The 19,191-nt window shown below is 43.2% G+C and overlaps 1 protein-coding gene across 4 annotated transcripts in view, besides 1 other annotated feature; it reads right to left on the bottom strand.

Annotated features, from left to right (window-relative positions):
• The window catches only part of RBFOX1 (RNA binding fox-1 homolog 1), a 2,473,620-nt gene that overhangs the window by 1,770,899 nt on the left and 683,530 nt on the right, over positions 1-19,191 (bottom strand). The window lies entirely within an intron of this gene.
• Positions 16,079-16,724: an enhancer, noted in NCBI's record as "OCT4-NANOG-H3K27ac-H3K4me1 hESC enhancer chr16:5975719-5976364 (GRCh37/hg19 assembly coordinates)". NCBI's record gives its function as "activates a minimal SCP1, AML or CMV promoter by ChIP-STARR-seq in naive and primed H9 embryonic stem cells {active_cell/tissue: H9 hESC(naive and primed)}" and the evidence as "EXISTENCE:reporter gene assay evidence [ECO:0000049][PMID:30033119]".

The raw sequence follows: 19,191 nt of genomic DNA, 5'->3' as shown, positions 1-19,191 counted from the left end.
TCAGAGTTTTGCATTTCTGACAACCAAATGATTCCACTCAGACCCGTGACTCATGACTCAACTAGTCCTGTAGCTCTCACCCAGAAGCAGACTCAGCATATGAGGACCGTTGTCCACACACCTATGATTACATTTCCTAACCAATAAGCAGCACCCATTTCCTAGTCCCCTGCCAATCAAACTATATTTCAAAAACCCTAGCCTGCAAACTATGGAGAGGCTGCTTTGAGTAATAAAAAAAACTCCAGTCTCCCATTTAGCTGCGTCTATATGTATTAAACTTCTTTCTCTATTGCACTCCCCCTGTCTAGATAAATTGGCTGTACCTGGGCATCAGGCAAGAAGAACCCACTGGGTGGTTACAGGCTGGTCTAGGATAATTGAATAAGCCAACGGACATGGGGAGGAAGCCTTACTAATGACTGATTTCTGTTATTCCTCCACTCAGGTTTCAGTGTCAGATATGATTTAGAAAAATACCATAACAATGGTGGTCGTTGTTATCTAGTATAGAGGAGAAAGTTCATACCAGGTACATTTCCTTATTTTTCTGAAGCAGACTCAGGCCGGAAAAGGGGATGTACTGCGTCATCCATACTAACGCTGGCTCTCTTGTCTATTTCGCACGGAGCAAGACATACTTGAGACCCAGTGAGAAGCTATGAGCTCACGGGAAGAGGTTTTAGTCTTCCTAAACTTCAGTTTCAACCTCTGTATGGAAAAAAAAATGGGATAATTCCTGGCTAGTTCATTTAAAATGACTAAGTGGGATGCCCCAGTAGGTCTTCCATGTGCTCCAATTATTTGGCACATTTTAATTGAGCACATATTATGTGCCAGGTATTTTACTGGAAATACTTATGTGCAAAGTAAGCACAATTTCTGCTCTCATGGGACCCTCAGTAAATATTAGTATATTTTCCAAGCCTCTTTTACCTTTTTTTTTTTCCTTGAGATAAGATCTTGCTTTGTCACCCAGGCTGGAGCGCAGAAGAGCTATCATAGCTCACTGCAATGTCAAACTCCTGGGCTCAAGTGATCCACCCACCTTAGCCCCTCAAGTAGCTGGGACGACAGGCATGCTCTACCATGCCCAGCTAACTTAAAAAAAAAATGTAGAGATAAGATCTCACTACGTTGCCCAGGCTGGTCTTGAACTCCTGGCCTCAATCCATCCTCCTACCTCAGCCTTCCAAAGCATTGGGATTACAAACATGAGCAATCACTCCTGGGCCCTTCTTTACTTTTTAAAACTACATTATTGTAGTGACTTTCTCCACACCACCAAGAAAGTCTTATTTGAACGCTTTTTGTTAATTTAAGCTATTAAACTACTTTACTGGGGATGGGTGTATCCCAGGCAATGTGTTCCAGGATTTGCATGCATCATCTCATTTAATTCTCACAACAACCCACCAGTAGATAAGTATGTTATTCCTTCTACTGTAAAGATGAGGAAACAGACTCAGAAGGTCATTCAATTAAGGGGCAGAATTGAGATTCAAACCGAGGCAGTCTGACTCCAAAATCAAGACCTCAGCTCCTTCTTACACACAGCCCAACATGTAAACGCAGGGTTGGAACCCCCACCCAGCCACCTAGATCCCAAGCGGAAATGCTCACAGCACAGCTGCCAGCCCAAGTCCCATATGTGCCAGACTAGCCGGCTGTGGCCTCAGCAAAGAATTTATTTCTCCTCCCCTCCACTTGAATGATTTCATTTTCCCCTCTAATTCCTGGCCTAGAAACTGCTCTGCTGAAATGGTGATTTACCACGGGTGCTCCCACTATGGGGCAGGCCCTTTAATTGCTTCCTGAAGGAGTCTTTTGGTGCTGTTCTGAGAGCCCTGATTGAAATTTTTAAAGAATTATAATTTCCCAAAGCAAGCTGTCATTAAAATTCTACAAACCTCCCTGTGAGGATCTTAATATCCCCATAGATCTGGGCTCAGTCTGACATTCCCCCATGGTTTTCCAGGTGGGTGACCTTGGAAAGGTCCCTCCAATTCTCAGTGCCTAGATTCCCTTTTGCCACCACACAGGGCTAATAGGAGGATCAAATGAGAACGTGAACATTGGGCTCTTAGGGCATGCCTGGAAAAACGAGATGCTCAATAAGCTAAATGAGGCTTTAGGGACCATCTAGTTCAAATACTGAATTTAACTTAGGTGGAAGATGCGACTCAGAAGTAGAAAGTGACTTGCCTAACTAAGGTCACACAACTAGAGATGGTTTCTCAATGGTTACTCTAGTGTCTCCATCATTCCAATACTTCTTAAGGCTTCCTCCTTTTCCCCATGGTCTCAGGGGACCATTATCAGTGTGGAATACGGGGTGAGCCTTCAGGGCAGAAGATGGAAAAATAAAGAAATTTAAATTTACCTAGCACTCACTATGACTGTATAATCCTGTAAGGAAGATGGCATCTGCCCCATTTTACAAATAAGAAATCTGAAGCTCAGAGAGGGTAAATAACCTGACCAGGGTCACACAGCTAGTAGGCTCTAGAGTCAAGATTCTACCCCAAGTCTGCTTGACTGTGAAGCCTACTCACTTTCATCCCACCACACTGTCAACCTGCAACTGTGCCTCAATAGATCCCCATGTCCATATGGTCAGGGTATGGCTGTGGCTTTATGAAAAAATCTCCTTAAACATTTCAATTATCTATGTGAGGCTCTATCAGCTGGTATGGTGGTTTTAGAATACATCCACAGATTTGCTGACACTTTTTTTTTTAAAAAATGGAGCCACCACCTCCCTTGAGTCAAGGCTGGACTTTAGTGACTCTCTAATAAATAGAATATGGAAAAAGTGACAGTGGGTGACTTCCAAAATTGTGTCATAAAAGGCACTGTGATTTCTTCTTTACCTTCTCTCTTGGATCCATGGCTCTGAAGGGCGGCCAGCAGCCATGTTGTGAGGATGCTCAGACAGTCCTGTGGAAGGTCCTCCATGACAAGAAACAGGAATTTTGCCAAAAGCCACATGTGTGAGCCATCTTGGGAGTAGCTCTCCCAGTCCCAGTCAGACCTTCAGATGACTGCAAACTCATGACAGACCCTGGGGCAGAATGCCCTCTCTAAACAGCTCCCAAATTCCTGAACCTCAGAAACTGTCATATAATAACTATCCGTTGTTTTAATCTAAGTTTGTGATGATTTATTAGACAATTACATATACTAATATGATTAACTTTTTATTATACTTTAAGTTCTAGGGTACATGTGCACAATGGGCAGGTTTGTTACATGTCTACATATGCCATGTTGGTGTGCTGTACCCATTAATTCATCATTTACATGAGGTATATCTCCTAATGCTATCCCTCCCGCCTCCCCCAACCCCACGACACGCAGTGGTGTGTGATGTTCCCTGCCCTGTGTCCAAGTGTTCTCATTGTTCAATTCCCACCTATGAATGAGAACATAAGCTGTTTGCTTTTTGTCCTTGCGATAGTTTGCTGATAATGATGGTTGCCAGCTTCATCCATGTCCCTACAAAGGACATAAACTCATCCTTTTTTAACATAATAGCCATCCCAAAATTTAGTGGTTTAAAACAATAACCATTTATTTTCTTTATGATACTAATGAATCAGCAATTTGGGCTAGGCTCAGCTGAGTGGTTCATCTGTTTTCAGCTGGGCTTCCTCCTGCTTTGTGGTGAGCTGCAGGTAACCAAAATGACTGTTTATGGAGGTTGTGATGGTGTCACCTGGAGCAATGAGAAGCAACCAGGCTATTCCTCAGGATCCAAATGACAAAGAAAAAATGACCCCAGGTGTAAAATTGCAAAGTCAGGTCTGTTGCATCCTATTAGCCAAATCAAGTTACAAGGTGAGCTAAAAAATTCAAGGATGTGGGAAGCAGACCCCACACCTTAGTGAAATAGGTTGTAGAGTTTCCCTGGTTTTAGGGAGGTATGGAGAATTGGGGACATTTTGCAACTTGCCACGGAGACTGAGTTTATTTTAAATATGGTAGCTATGCAACATGACCATCACCATCAGCAGCCTAGTAATTTTAATATTCGAACTTGCTAAGTCACTCAGCTTGAGAATGTGCACTGAAATAGGGCCAAAATTGAAATTCCATCAGCAACGATCAGTGAGACACTCTGGAGGAGAACTGGCTCCAGACACTGGTCTAGCTCAGGTCATGGGACAGTTAGTAGTTTAATTTGTTTCCAGAAAGCTGGCTACAAACCTGAAAGCTATATACTTCCCAGGAAGACACCAAGATAGGTAGAATATTCCAGAAGGAGTATTTTTTGGTTCCAGGTTTTCTGTGTAAAGTACGGAAGCAAAGAAAAGAAAAGGAGAAGAAAAGAATGAAAAGGGTACAGAGGTGTTTCAGCTTTTGGCCAGAATGTTAGCAAAAAATAAATACTCATGTGAAATTATCCTGATGGATTAAAAACAGATACCCAAAAATTAAATGTGATTTAAATTAATAACTATTCAAATAAGCAAAGTAACTTTATGGATGTTACTCCTGTTGTAACATATATTTGACATCGATAAGAAATAAGTCAACTGAAAACCACATTTTGCAATATATATCTATGTAAGCATGTATATATGTACATATAACCATATATATGTATGTATACTATGAACATATATTTGTATAATTTATATAGGTATATATTTTATATATACATTATATACATATATTTGTATCTGTACATATTTATAGTTATATGGAGATATGTAACTATATATAACTATACTACTTACATATAAATATGTAACCATATAACTATATATTATAAAGTTCTATATGTAGCTATATATATAAAACTGTATTATAAAGTTCTATATGTAGCTATATATATAAAACTGTATCATATAGTTATATATAAATAAGCAACTATATATCATACAGTTATATATAAATATGTAACTATATATCATATAGTTGCCTGCAAATATTTATATATTCACTGCTGAAAAATTCCTGCTTATTCCAGGGGCTTTTCTTTAACTCTCCCAAACAGAAATAAACGTGTGTCACTAGAACTCAACACTTGGTTCACGCCTCTACTCTAGAATGTAAACCATGGCATTTGCTTAATGGCAGGTAGAGGTCTTCAGTTCTCTGAGGACAGGGATACTGTCTTCTCACTTCTCTCTTTCCAGTGTTTGCCAAGTTTGTTCACAAAGTGATGCCTTTGCTCCTGTAAATCCACACACTATAGGAAAAGCTGCACAATCTCTCGTGTTCTTTCCATAAAGAGATAGTCCAATGGAGACCAGAGAACACAATTCCAAGACACAGCAAAAAGCAGGATTAGCACATTTCCAGGCAACATTTTGGCCTTATTTATAAATTATCCACACTAGACTTTAGCCCTTACAATAGGTCTATGATGCAGACAAACCAGATTTTATCCCCATTTGACAGATGAGAAAACTAAGGCTCAGAGATATTGAGTAAAAGGTACACTGACACTGATTATATAGGAGCAGAAATATGTAAGTGAAAAACAGATGTATGCAGTGCTCTACAGTCCCTTGAGATGAAGGTAAGCCTGGTCAACACCCCCAGTCCCAAAGCCCTCTGTGAGATCTTTGATACCCAGATGGCTGGCTTTCTGGGGATCACCTCTGCTTTGCCGCTCTTGTCTTGGCATGTGCTGTCTCTGCTGCAGAAACAATTGACCCTTGTATGAAACTCAGCTCTTTTCTCCATTTCCAACAAAATCCCCATTTATACACAGTACAATGATTTAGGTGAGGTAGGAAGTTGGGTGGAGAATGAGCACACAATTACAAGTTGAAAGGTACATCCTTGTTCTTAAAATGTTCATCATCCACCATCAATCTGACCTGTGTCTCCACCTCTTTCTGTGCCTTCCTCTCTCTCTGCCCTGGTCTAGAGCAAAACACATCAGTCTCCTTGACATGGGCAGAGGAACTTGGTCATTCTCTTTCATTAACTTGGCTCACACAGGACTCCTTCCAGTCTCACTGTCCTGCCTTACTATTTTTCCAAACAAAATTCCTCCCTAATGGCCAGGTGCAGTGGCTCATACTTGTAATCCCAGCACTGTGGGAGGCTAAGGTAGGTGGATCACTTGAGGTCAGGCATTTGAGACCAGTCTGGTGAACGTGGTGAAACCCCATCTCTACTAAAAATACAAAAATTAGCCAGGCACGTTGGCACATGCCTGTAATCCCAGCTACTCAGGATGCTGAGGCACGAGAATCGCTTGAACCTGGGAGACAGAAGTTGCAGTGAGCCAAGATCACGCCACGGCACTCCAGCCTGGGTGACAGAGTGAAACTCTGTCTCAAAACAACAACCACCACCACCATTCCTCCCTAGGAAGGTTTATGATGCCAGATGCTACCATCATATAATTTTTACCATATATTTCCACTCTTGACATAAAAAAAAAATGGGTTCAGATCAGTTGAAGGAATGGAGTAAGCTTCAAAATGGAATACAGTGGAGCTTGCAGGTTTACAGAACGAAGGCCCTGAGGGCCTCCAGGGGAGGCTGGTTGAGGTAGAGTTTTGCTTGTACTTCTGTAGCCATTATACCTCTGTGAATTCAGCCAACAACCAGGATATCCAATGGGGCATTTAGAACCATGACCACCCAAAGTAGGCAGCACAAGAGATAAACTAGCCATTGGATGTGGAGACTTGAATTTGAAACCTGGCCCTGCCGCTAAGTAGACCAGGCTCTTGGTCTTTGATCCATGTCATTTATTTCTTATATTCTGTTGCTTTAACATCTGAGACCTTGCTGACTCTGGAGGGACCGCCCTTCCTAGGGTCAGCTAATTCCTAGAGACTAGAAACAAGTCCTGTGTAAGTATGCATTTCAAATACAAGCCAACCAGTCCAGAACCCAGATCCCCCAACTACCTCTTCTTTCCTGCTCTCACACTCCAGGCCACTGTCCACCGGCCCTAATCACCCCAGGGCCAGGTACCAATTAGGAACAGCTCCTATGCCCCAGACCTCTCTGCCATTATTCAAACCAGCCATTCCTAAATCTCCTTATGCTGCCTACCTGATCCTTACACAGAAACCACAATACAGGCTCCTGGCCATGGTCCTCCTTCCACCCTCTGCCACACGCAGGATGGATCCTCGTGTGTCCCCATGTGGCCCCATGTGGCATGGCCTGCCCCCTACTCTTGGGAACATGAGTAACAATCTTTTCAATGGCAGATACTTCCTGATCTGTTAACCTCACTATAGCTCAAATTTTCCATTTTTTAGATTGTAGGGGATTGGTCAGGGTAGTGGGAAAAATTATAAAGATAAAGTTATAGGAAATAGACACAAGCCTTCTTGGAAGGCCAGGAGGTTTGCAAAGCTTCAGTAAAAGAGTTGGCTGAAGGCAGCTGAATTCTCTTAAAAGCTGAGGGTGTAGACACTTGTTTAATCATGTGGCCCAAAGATTGACCCTTCGATATTCTGCAGATGCAGGACTGATCTCTCTGGGGGAGGCCAACCAGATTAATTACCCACAGGTGTGTTGACTCAAAGCCTTTGTCATTAAATCTGTGCTGAATAAATGCCCACAGGGCCAGCCAGTCTGTGTGCAGCTGCCACAACTCTTTCTGTGAGTGGCCCGGTCCCCTGCCCTGCTCTTTCACTGAATATCAGTGTCTGAGTATGTTATTCATCCATCGTGCAGCCTTGGTCTGTGGGTCAGTCCCCCACATTAATTAATTAATTAAATGACACGTAATAATTATACATATTTATGGGGCACATCCTGATATTTCCATAAATATAACGTGTAGTAATCACATCAGAGTAATCAGCATATCCATCATCTCAAATATTTATCATTTCTTTGTGTTGGGAACATTCAATATCCTCTTCTCTTTTAAAACACTTGGCGGGATCTGTCCATACTGCAGGCCTCAGTCTCCTGATCTGCAACGTGAGTCGTGGACTAGGCCAGGATATCTTGGCTTCACTCTGATGTCTTGTAATTCACCTCATACTTTATGTATTTCTTTAAGTGGACTCAGTTTTTAAAAGAAAGTAATAGATTTAGAAAGGAAGCTTTACATAAATGCAAAATCCACACCAGCTGCCATAAAGAATAACCATAAAATAAGCACAATAGATATAATAAACACAATGAGCTGGGTACCACTGTCTTTCCAAGGCTCTGTGCCTCTTTGTAGTAAAGGGAAGCTGGGGAGCTTTGGAGAGGCATTAAAGCTGTGTTTGCACCAATCTGGGCCTTTCTCCCTACAGGATTTGAAAAATGGAAGGCCAACGAAACAGCAGCATGTTCCTTATACTGAGCTCCTGAGGATGATGCCATGCCGTGTCCACATAAAACCACCTTGTGGCAGGAACATGGATGGGGCTGGAGGCCATTATCCTTAGTGAACTAATGCAGGAGCAGAAACCCCAAATGTCACATGTTCTCACTTATAAGCTAAATGATGAGAACTCATGAACACAAAGAAGGGAACAACAGACACAGGCGCCTACTTGAGGGTGGAGGGTGGGAGGAGGGAGAGGAACAGAAAAAATAATTATTGGGTACTAGGCTTACTACCTGAGTGATGAAATAATCTGTACAACAAACCCCCATCACTCGAGTTTACCTATATAACAAACCTGCACACGTACCCACAAGCCTAAAATATAAGTTAAAAAAAAAACAAAAAAAAACACCTTGTGGCCACCAGCCCTCCCAAACTTCATTATTAAAAACACTGAGCTCATTAATCTTCTACCCCAAACTCTACATAGTATTTCAGGGCTTTGGAAAGAAAGGCCCAGAAAGAGAACAATCAAAGCCTAACTCCCTATCCATTATGAAAACATAATAAGGTCTGCTAGACCCAAGACAATAGCTTGGCCTCCCTAAATGGCAATTTCTGTTTTTCTGTGTGATTGTTCCTAAGTCACTTTTCCCTGCAGGAGCATCCGTTTTTCACATCAGGAAAACAAGGAGATTCAACCCTGACGGTCCCTGTGATCCTAAAGAGATCCCTCAAAACGGGCCAAGGATCAGGCTGACATGTCGGAGCCACTCTGGCAGGATCCCTGGTACATGCGTGCATAAGAACACACGAACACTCCCCCACTGCCCTCAGTTTGCCTCAGGGACACCAAACAGGAATTGCATTTAGTAATCAATTGACTCCCCTTGACTTGGTTTGGTGCTTTTTCTAAATAACAAGAGCCTGGCAACATCGGAACCTCGCAACAATCTTTATTAATGAAGCTCCTGGCGCCATGCGGAGAAGACACAGGCAGCGTATGCAAACGTGCTAAGGAAATTATTTCTATCAGCTCCAGCTATTTGAAAGCAATTGAAAAGTTTCCATTTGAAGAAGAAGTAATTTTCCTGATGTGAGTTTCCAGAGCTGTTTGTCTGCCCCCACCTAAGGCTGCTGCAGCTTCCTCGGCTCTGGGCTTTCTACATTTTATTAAACCACAGCTAAGTGGCGTCATGCTGTTAAAATATTGTGTCGCTTTTTAAAGTGATATCATTACCTAATAATTTTGAGAGCTTTACCTTTTTTTTCTTTGCCAGGAAGGGAAATGGACCAAATGGCTTGGCAATGCCACAACCATATGGGAGCAGGGAGTGGCGGGTGTGAGGCACTGGGGCCAAAGAGCAGGGAGAACCAAGCACCCGAGGTCACGTGGGAAATGAGTATGTGAATTCTTCAGCATCCCACGTTTATAGAGAATTGGGAGAGATGGGAAATGCACGTAAACAAGACCAGAGCCTCCTGACCCCAGTGGTGGATTTTCCATGACATTGATGAAACTGACCTAATTTTATATATCTAATGTTATAATCATAATTTTGTTCCTTTTACTTAAAGAGTGTGTTTGTTTTCTATTGCTGCAGAACAAATCACGACAACCTTAGGAGCTCAAAACAACACTCACTCATTCGCTCACAGTTCTGTAAGGGCAGATGTCTAGCATGGCATGGCTGGGGTCTCTGTCTGCTTAGAGTCCTACAAGCCTGACATCAAACTGTCGACCTTGCTGAATTTTCATCTGGAGGTGCTGGAGAAAAATCTGCCTCAATATTCATTCCCGTTGTTGGAAAAATGCAGTTCCTTGACGTTTCAGGACTGAGGCTCTGTTTTCTGGCAGCTGTCAGACAAGGGCAGCCCTCAGTCCCACAGACCTTCTGTATTCCTTAGGGCACGGCCCTTCCATCTTTAAACCAGCTACGGTGCATCAAAACCTTCTCACTGATCTCTAACTTCCTCTTTTTTGACCAACAGCAGAAAATTCTCGGCTTTTAATGGACTGGTGTGATTAAGTCAATCCCAGCCAAATCATTCTTCCTCTCTTAGGACCAACTATGCCATACAAGGCCAGGCACAGTGGCTCATTCCTGCAATCCGCAACACTTTGGGAAGCCAAGGCGGGAGGACTGCTTGAGTCCAAGAGTCCGAAACCAGCCTGGGAAACATAGGGAGAGGCCCAAGTGTACAAAAAAAAATTAGCTAGGAGTGATGGTGCATGCTTGTTGTCCCAGCTACTTGGGAGGCTGAAGTGGGTGGAATGCTCGAGCCCAGGAGGTCAAGGCTGCAGTGAGTTAGGACTGTGCCACTGTACTCCAGCCTGGGAGACAGAGCAAGACCTATGCCACATAACAATCTAATCACAGCAGTAAAATGCATCATATTCAAGTTCCAAACAATATTCAGGGTATATGCATGAGACGGGTAGGGAATCTCAGGGGCCATTTCAGGATTCTGCCTACACAAAGAAGGGCTCCAAACTGTAAGATTCAGGACCCACAAAACTTGAGTCTCCTTCAGCCTGACCTGTTTGATCCTGGAAGCTCTCACCAGGACCATATGATCTCAGGTCTGTAACGTCTTTTCAGACCCAGCTGCTCAAAGACTTACCTATCTGCCTACACATTAAGTCAGAATGTGGTTGAGCATGCAGGGCTACGGTGGGCATCTGTTGCTTTTTCAGCCTGGAAACCACTCTCCTTCTCTGTTAACACCTGCCTGATCTTCCTCTCCTGTCAAACTTTTCTCCCACTTTAAGTCTCTGTGGTTCAGACAAAGGACCCATCTCCACCTCCAGATATGGCCAAGTGATGTTATTTTGTTAATTCAGTCCCCTTTCCCCGCACCTTGATCTCACAGTGTTAAGTATGAGAATAGTTAAATGACCCATGGTGGTCAATAGGAACACAGGTGGAATCTACCAGAAAGGCACTTTTTTCTTTTTCTCACTGAGGCCATGAGCAATAGGATGATTGATGTGGTTGGAGCTCAAGGGGTAACCAGGTGGAGCCTAATAATGAAGCCAATACAAAAGAATAGCCCTACGTGCAGAGAGCAAGAGGTGGGTACTAATGACAACATCTAAGCTTTTTGGTCCTACTGAGCCTGAAGTTAGACTACTCTTGGACAAATAAGTTTACTTCTCATCTATCCATCCATTCAACCACCCTCCCACCTACCCATCCATGCATCCATCCATGCATCCATCCATCCACCCTCCCACCCACCCACCTACCCATCCTCCCACCTACCCAACCATGCACCCATCCATGCATCCATCCACCCTCCCACCTACCCAGCCATACATCCATCCATGCATCCATCGGTGAATCCATCCATCCATCCATGCAACCATCCACCCTCCCACCCACCAACATACCCGCCCTCCCACCCACCCAACCATGCATCCATCCATGCATCCATCCACCCTCCCACCTGCCCACCTACTCACCCTCCCACCTACCCAACCATGCATCCACCCACCCTCCCACTTACCCATGTGCCCACCTACCCACCCTCCCACCTACCCAACCATGCATCCAGCCATGCATCCATCCACCCTGCCACCCGTCCACCTACCCACCCTCCCATGTACCCAACCATGCATCCATCCAGGCATACATCCACCCTCCCACCCGCCCACATACCCACCCTCCCACCTACCCAACCATGCATCCATCCACCCTCCCACCCACCCACATACACACCCTCCCACCCACCCAACCATGCTTCCATCCATGCATCCATCCATCCATCCACCCTCCCACCTACCCAACCATGCATCCATCCATGCATCCATCCATCCACCCTCCCATCCATCCAGCTACCAACCTTCCCACCTCCCATCCATCCATCCATCCAACCAACCACCCACCCTCCCACCCACTCACCTACTCACCCTCCCACCTACCCATCTATACATCCAAGCATCCATCCATCCATCCATCCATCCATCCATCCATCCATCCATTCTTCTTTCTTTTAAGCTATTTGGTGTTGAGTTTCTGTCACTTATAATCCCAACATTAACACAGATGCCCCTGGAGGCACCCTGTCTCCCATCCTTCCATTCAACTTTCACAAACGCAAACCCCCTCCCAGCCCCCATTCTCCAGCTGTACTGAAATGCAAGCCATTCCGCCTTCTTTCTTCACTCACTTCACTCACTCACACCTGCTTCGTAGTGCATCCGTCTTTCTCCTTTCCTGACCAGCCACATTGTGCCCCACTCAAAGCACATCTGTTCTTGACAATTTCCCACCCTCCCCACCCTCATTAAGAATTAATTCTCTCCTTTTCTGGACTCTCAGAAGACTCTGTTTGTACCTACTTACCTTCTAGCCTACTCCCTTGCCAGCTCTTAGTGAGTTCTGTTCACATCCCATCCCAGCGTGTGGCACACAGCAAGTGACTAGGTATGCATGTGTGTAAATCTATCATTATTCCCATTTTAACATAAAAAAAACAGATGCTCAGGGATGATCACTCAGACCAATCTGACACCAAAGTCTACATTCTTAAACACTATGAAGTCTTTCACTTTATTATTATATTATGATCCATATTGTTACCAGCATTAATAGTAAAAATAACTACACATATGGAACATGGAACCTTTGTCTTGCAGTATAGTAAGAGGTAATTTAAATAGATTATGTCCTTTAATCTTCAAAGACACTCTAATGTCATGCTGTCTTATAGGAGAGGAAACTGAGTCCCAGAGGAGTTTGATGATTGCTCAACGTCACATAGCTAGAATTTGAACCCAATTCTCTTTCCAGAACCATGATTCTCAGACATTACATTTATAATGCTTGGGGGTGGTGGGCAGAGAAAGAGAGAGAGAGAGAGAGAGAGGCTTAAGACTGAACTTGAAGGTGAGCCTAAGTAAGAACTTGAACTTGCTGAGACCTGTGCATTCAACCTCAGAGACCCCTTAGAAAGTGGCACAGAGGTGCTGGGGGAGGGGTGAGAAGGCCCACCAGGAGGTAATGCCCCTTCCCTGTCCGCTTCCCAAGACTACTGCCCCTGGATCCAAAGCAATGTCTCTGTCAAAATTTTCATTTTCAATCACCCAAGCCAGTCGGTCTGGACTGTGTGTTTAAATAGGATTTTCTTTCCTTTTTTTTTTTTTTTTTTAAATTGGAAAGAAGCTTTAAACACTTTGAAAGTGGCCTTAGGGACCAGCTCACAGCTGGATCTGCAACCCCTCCTTTTGAGGCGAGCATCCCTGCAGCCACATTGCGAGCTCTGTTTTCAATTACAAAAGCTTATTTGAACATGGGCTGTCACAGAGGCTGTTCAAACAGGCTTTTGTAATTGAAAAGTAGGAAAAACAAAAGATTTCTAACCTTCCAAAGCCAGGGTGGGAAAGAACTGGTCAGACAACTGTGGAACCAAAATGGTGGCCCACAATACCAGGATTGAGGCAGCCAAGAACGCATTTCAGGAATTTTTTTTTTTTTTTTTTTTATTGGGCAGAAGCACAGAGAGTGAAAGCACCTAGGACCTGGTCAGCATCGGCTCTGGTGTAAAGTTACAGGGCCAGAATCTGACAGCAGGAAGGGATGTGGTGGCAGGAGGAACATATAGTGACTTTCACCAGTGTTACCTAACATAACAATTTTATTTTAAATTGACAAATAATAATTGTATATGTTTATGGGGTACAACATGATGTTTTGATACATCCATACATTGTGGGATGATTAAATCAAGCTAATTAGCATATCCATCATCTCACATACTTTTTTTTTTTTTTCATGGCGAGAACATTTAAAATCTATGCATGACTGGGTGTGGTGGCTCCTGCCTATAATCCCAACACTTGGGAAGGCAGGGGCTGGAGGATCATTTGAGGCCAGGAGTTTTAAGACCAGCCAGAGCAACACAGTGAGACCCCCGTCTCTACAAACAATTAAAACACTAGCAAGGTGTGGTAATCTCAGCTACTCAGGAGGCTGAGGCAGGAACACCACTTGGGCCCAGGAGATCAAGGCTACAGTGAGCTGTGATCACACCACTGTTCTCCAGCCTGGGTGACAGAGCAATACCCTGTCTCAAAAAATAAAAAATAAATAAATAAAAATAAAATACATTTATTCAGCTATTTCAAAATACACTTTATTACTAATGATAGTCACCATGCCCTGCCACAGATCACTAAAACACATTCCTCTTGTCTAACCAAAACTTTATTCTATCTCACCAACAACCTCCAGCTCCTGCCCCAGCCTCTGGTAACCACCATTCTACTCTCTGTTTCCAGGATTTTGATGTTTTTAGATTCCATTTACAAGTGGGATCGTGTAATATTTGTGTTTCTGTGCCTAGCTTATTTCACTTAGCATAAGGTCTTCCAGGTTTACCCATTTTGTCACAAATAACAGAAATTCCTTCTTTTTCAAGGCTGAATAGTATTCCATCATGTATATACACCACATTATTTTTACCCATTCATCCGTTGCAGGACACTTACACTGATTCCACATTTTGACTGTTGTGAATAGTGCTGCAATGAACATGAGACTGCAGATATCTCTTCGATATACAGATTTCATTCCCTTTGGATATATACCCAGAAGCACTATTGCTGGATCATACGGTAGTTCTACTTCTACTTTTGGGGGGAACCTCCATATTGTTTTCCATCATAGCTGTACTAATTTACATTCCCACTAGCAGTGTACAAGCGTTCTCTTTTCTCCACACCCTTACCAACACTTACCTTTTGACTTTTTGATAATACCTAAGGTAATGACTTTAGATCACTCGTACATAGAGTGTTAAAAGCCATTGGTGCCTAGAGTGAGAAAGTAATTTCATATTCAATTTTCTTGCAACATTTTGGAATTCAACAAGCAAAAAGTCTGTTTGCCACACACATATATATTTAACTTCTAATATTTTTGTATCTCCTTTTTAACAAAGACAGAGCAAGTCACACACTTGGAGCCTTTTAGGAATCTGCATAGAATTTAGTAACATTGTTTTACTTTCATTGGATTTTAAGAAAAATAATCATAGTTTCCAATTAAAATAAATGTCAGTCAAAATGGAATCAATTTAAAACATTAAATGAATCACAGAGCTAGGGTATAAAAATATGTCAAAAATCATTCTGGTATTTGAAACTGCAGAAATAAATAAAGAGGTTTGTGGAAAAGTACATTTTGGGACACTGGTTTGATGGCTAAGACTGTGGATTATAGTGAATGCACGCATTCACATCCCAACTCTACCACCTACTTGCCTTCCCAAACTGTATAAACTTCAGTTCCTCCTCTAGAAAATGGAGCTAATAAAAATACCCGACTTAACAGGTTGCTGAGAATGTAGGAGGAAAGGAATCACTCAGCTACTGTTTTCTATTATTGTTAAAAACAAGCTTAATGTTTCTCAAACTTAAATAATGTAGGGACCCCCTTCAGAGGAAAAGCGATTCTCATGAATCCACCCAATGGGTAAAAATGTTTGCAGACCCCAAGTCTTCAGCTAAGAATCCAATTTGTAAACCACGGATCCAGGCATTGCAAAAATAAATAATGAAGAGATTGAGATTTAGGTGATTTTTCCAAGGTCACACAACGAGTTACGAGTCTGAGGTGTAGTAGAATCCAAATCTCCTTCTGTCAGTGGGCTACAGTCACATTGGCATGGGATAATGATTGTGAGGTCTGGACCACTCACTGCAGGACTTCTGGCATCCCTAACTCCTGCCCTGCCTACACTAGATTCCAAAAGCACCCCCCAGTCAGCTAACAACTCCAAATTTCACCACATTTTCAAAGACTCCCTAGGAAGCTGATTAAGAACAGCCAGTATCCCTGTTCCAGCCCCAACCCTTCTCCAATATACCAATTTTACACATAGGATTTCCAGTGAGAGCTACAGCGTTCCTGAATGCAGGCAGGAGACTCAGATAGACCTGGGTTTTGCCAAAGTGTCATATGGGTAATTATACGCATATCTCATTTTAAATAGTATCAGATTTAAAAGGAATGCATCATTCTCAAGCTTTTACCTTCCCTTTTCACTGGAAGAGATAACAATATGTCTTTGAATGGCCTGATATTTACATAATGGCTTACCTTTGTTCCTCCAACTCCCAGCTAACAGTCAGAACATCACCCAAGTGAGCAAGGGAACCCTCGAGGGGTAGTCTGACTGCTACCACACCTGTAGTAAACAGAGGACAATAGACAATAGGAAAGGTAAGGAAGGCCACTGCATGTTTAGTCTACGGAGAGATAAGCTTGGCCCATCAGGTTTAGAAGTTCGATTTGTGGTAGTGAAACACTGCCCAAGGTAGCAGTGCTGAGAGGGGCCCAGGTAGTTATTTGGAGGTTTATGCCGATGTGTGAGCAGAGAAAGCTCCTCTTCAGGAAAGAGGGTGGAAGAGACCTGAGAGACTGAGAAAAACAACCTGGTTTTACACATACAATTATGTACAGTTTTAGGTAATTCTATATTTCAGTATAACATAATATATATATAATATGTATATTTGTGGTAAAATACACATAACATAAAATTCACTATGTTAATCATTTTATAGTGAACAATTCAGTGGCATTTAGTACATTCACAATGTTATGCAACCATCACCACTACCTGCTTCCAGTAATGTTCCTGTTCAACCACTAATCATGTTCATGTTCCACGAATCACGTCCAAGTTTATGTTCAACCATTAATCTACTTTCTGTTTCCATGGGTTTTCCTGTTCTGGACACTTTTATAAATGCAATCATGGAGTAAGTGTTCTTCAGGTCTAGTTTTTTCTACTAAGTATGGTATTTTCAAGGTTCATCTACACTGTAGCTTGGGTGAGAACTTCATTCCTTTTCAAGGCTGAATAATATCCCACTGTATGGGTAGACAGCATTTTGTCTGTTCACTTGCTGATGGACATTTGGTTTGCTTCCATCTTTTGGCTCTTGTGAATGGTACAGCTATAAGCATTTGTATACAGGCAGTAGGGACTGGGCTCAGGTGCAGGGACCTTACTTAGGTCAAGGGAAGTTTGTCTGCAGAGGCATCGGGATCTGAGGATCAATAATCAGGAGAGACAAGGGTTGGTGTGGAAACAGGGAGGGTGGGAAAGTATGGATGACCAGCTTCAGTAGGTGTCTGTGCTAAAAGGCATCAGATAACAGGATGACCCTCAATTTCTAACTAAAAAAGCCAAGGAAGAATAGGAAGGTCCCTGAACCAACTTAGGGCACTGTATTGTGGTTTTGCCTAGAAAAAGCTCTAGTCTTTACTGAGCTCCCAGTCTGCAAAGGCGGATACAGTTAGACTTTACTCCCCAATCCCTGGGCCCCACAGCATCACGTCCATCCTTGGGAAGGAACACAGTATCTGGAGACATGAAGATGGAAACAAAAAATCATGAAGATAAGACTCACATGGTCAGAATGATTCCTGGAAAGGTAGGTGTCTTAGACCACTTGTGTTGCTATAAAAGAATACATAGGCTGGGTAATTTAGAATGAAAAGAAGTTTATTTAGCTCATGGTTCTGCAGGCTGCACAAGAAGCATGGTGCCAGCATCTGTTTCTGCTGAGGGCTTCAGGCTACTTCTACTTATGGTGGAAAATGAAGGGGAGTTGGTGAGTACAGAGATCACAGGGCAAGAGAGAAGGCAAGAGAGAGAGGGAGAAGGTGCCAGGCTCATTTTAACAACCAGCTCTCAAAGGAATGAATAGAGAATTCATTTACCCACCAATCGCATTCCCCTGCCAGGGAGGACATTAATCTATTCATGAGGGATCAGCCCTCATGACCCGAACACCTCTCATTAGGCCCCATCTCCAACATTAGCAATCAAATTTTAACATGAGGTTTGGAGGGGTTAAACATCCAAATTATAGCAGTAGGTGTATTAGTCCATTCTTACTCTGCTATGAAGAAATACCTGACACTGGGTAATTTATAAAGGAAAGAGGTTTAATTGACTCACAGTTCCACATGGCTGGGGAGGCCTCAGGAAACTTACAATAATGGCAGAAGGCAAAGGAGAAGCAGGCACCTTCTTCATGGGGTAGCAGGACGGGATGAGTGCAAGGAGGGGAACTACCAGATGCTTATAAAACCATCAGATACCATGAGATTCAGTCACTATCCTGAGAACAGCATGGGGTACACTACCCCCATGAGCCAATTACCTCCACATTGTCCTGACCTTGACACGTGGAGATTATGGGAATTACAATTCAAGATGAGATTTTGTGTGGAGACACAGACAAACCATGTCAGTAGGAAAGCCAGGAAGGTCTCTAAGAATTAGGGAAAGGACAGGAAGTCATGATGCCTAAAAACTGGCTCTGGAGGCTAGGTACGGTGGCTCACACCTGTAATCCCAGCACTTTGGGAGGCTGAGGTAGGCACATCACTTGAGGTCAGGAGTTTGAGACCAGTCTGGCCAACATGGTGAAACCCCATCTCCACTAAAAACACAAAAATTAGCAGGTGTGGTGGCGCATGCCTGTAATCCCAGCTATTTGGGAGGTTAAGGCAGGAGAAATGTATGAACTCAGGAGGTGGAGGTTGCAGTCAGCCAAGATCGCACCACTGCATTCGAGCCTGGGCCACACAGCAAGGCTCTACCTCAAAAAAAAGAAAAAAAAAAAAAAAAAAAAGCCTGGCTCTGGAGACAGATGATCTAGGTCTGAATTCGCAATCTGTCCTCTGCTCTCCGTGAGCCTTCAGGGAGCTGCTCCAATCCCATGTGCCCCTGTCCTTGCTGGAGCTGGGGCTAATCCTGAAGGCCCTCATTATTCAACCTCCACCTTTGGCATCCCTCTGACTCAGTGAGGCCCCTTCCAGCCTTGTTCTGAGGGTCCTGCAAGGTCCCCACCATCCCCATCCCCAATCACACAGCCATAGCATTCTTCTTCTCCTCTCTTTTTGTTAATTTAG

This window comes from Homo sapiens, chromosome 16, assembly GCF_000001405.40.
Source record: "Homo sapiens chromosome 16, GRCh38.p14 Primary Assembly".
Classification (NCBI taxonomy): Eukaryota; Metazoa; Chordata; class Mammalia; order Primates; family Hominidae; genus Homo; species Homo sapiens.
The sequence above is the reverse complement of the archived record's forward strand: the minus strand, read 5'-3'. Positions and strand labels throughout refer to the sequence as shown.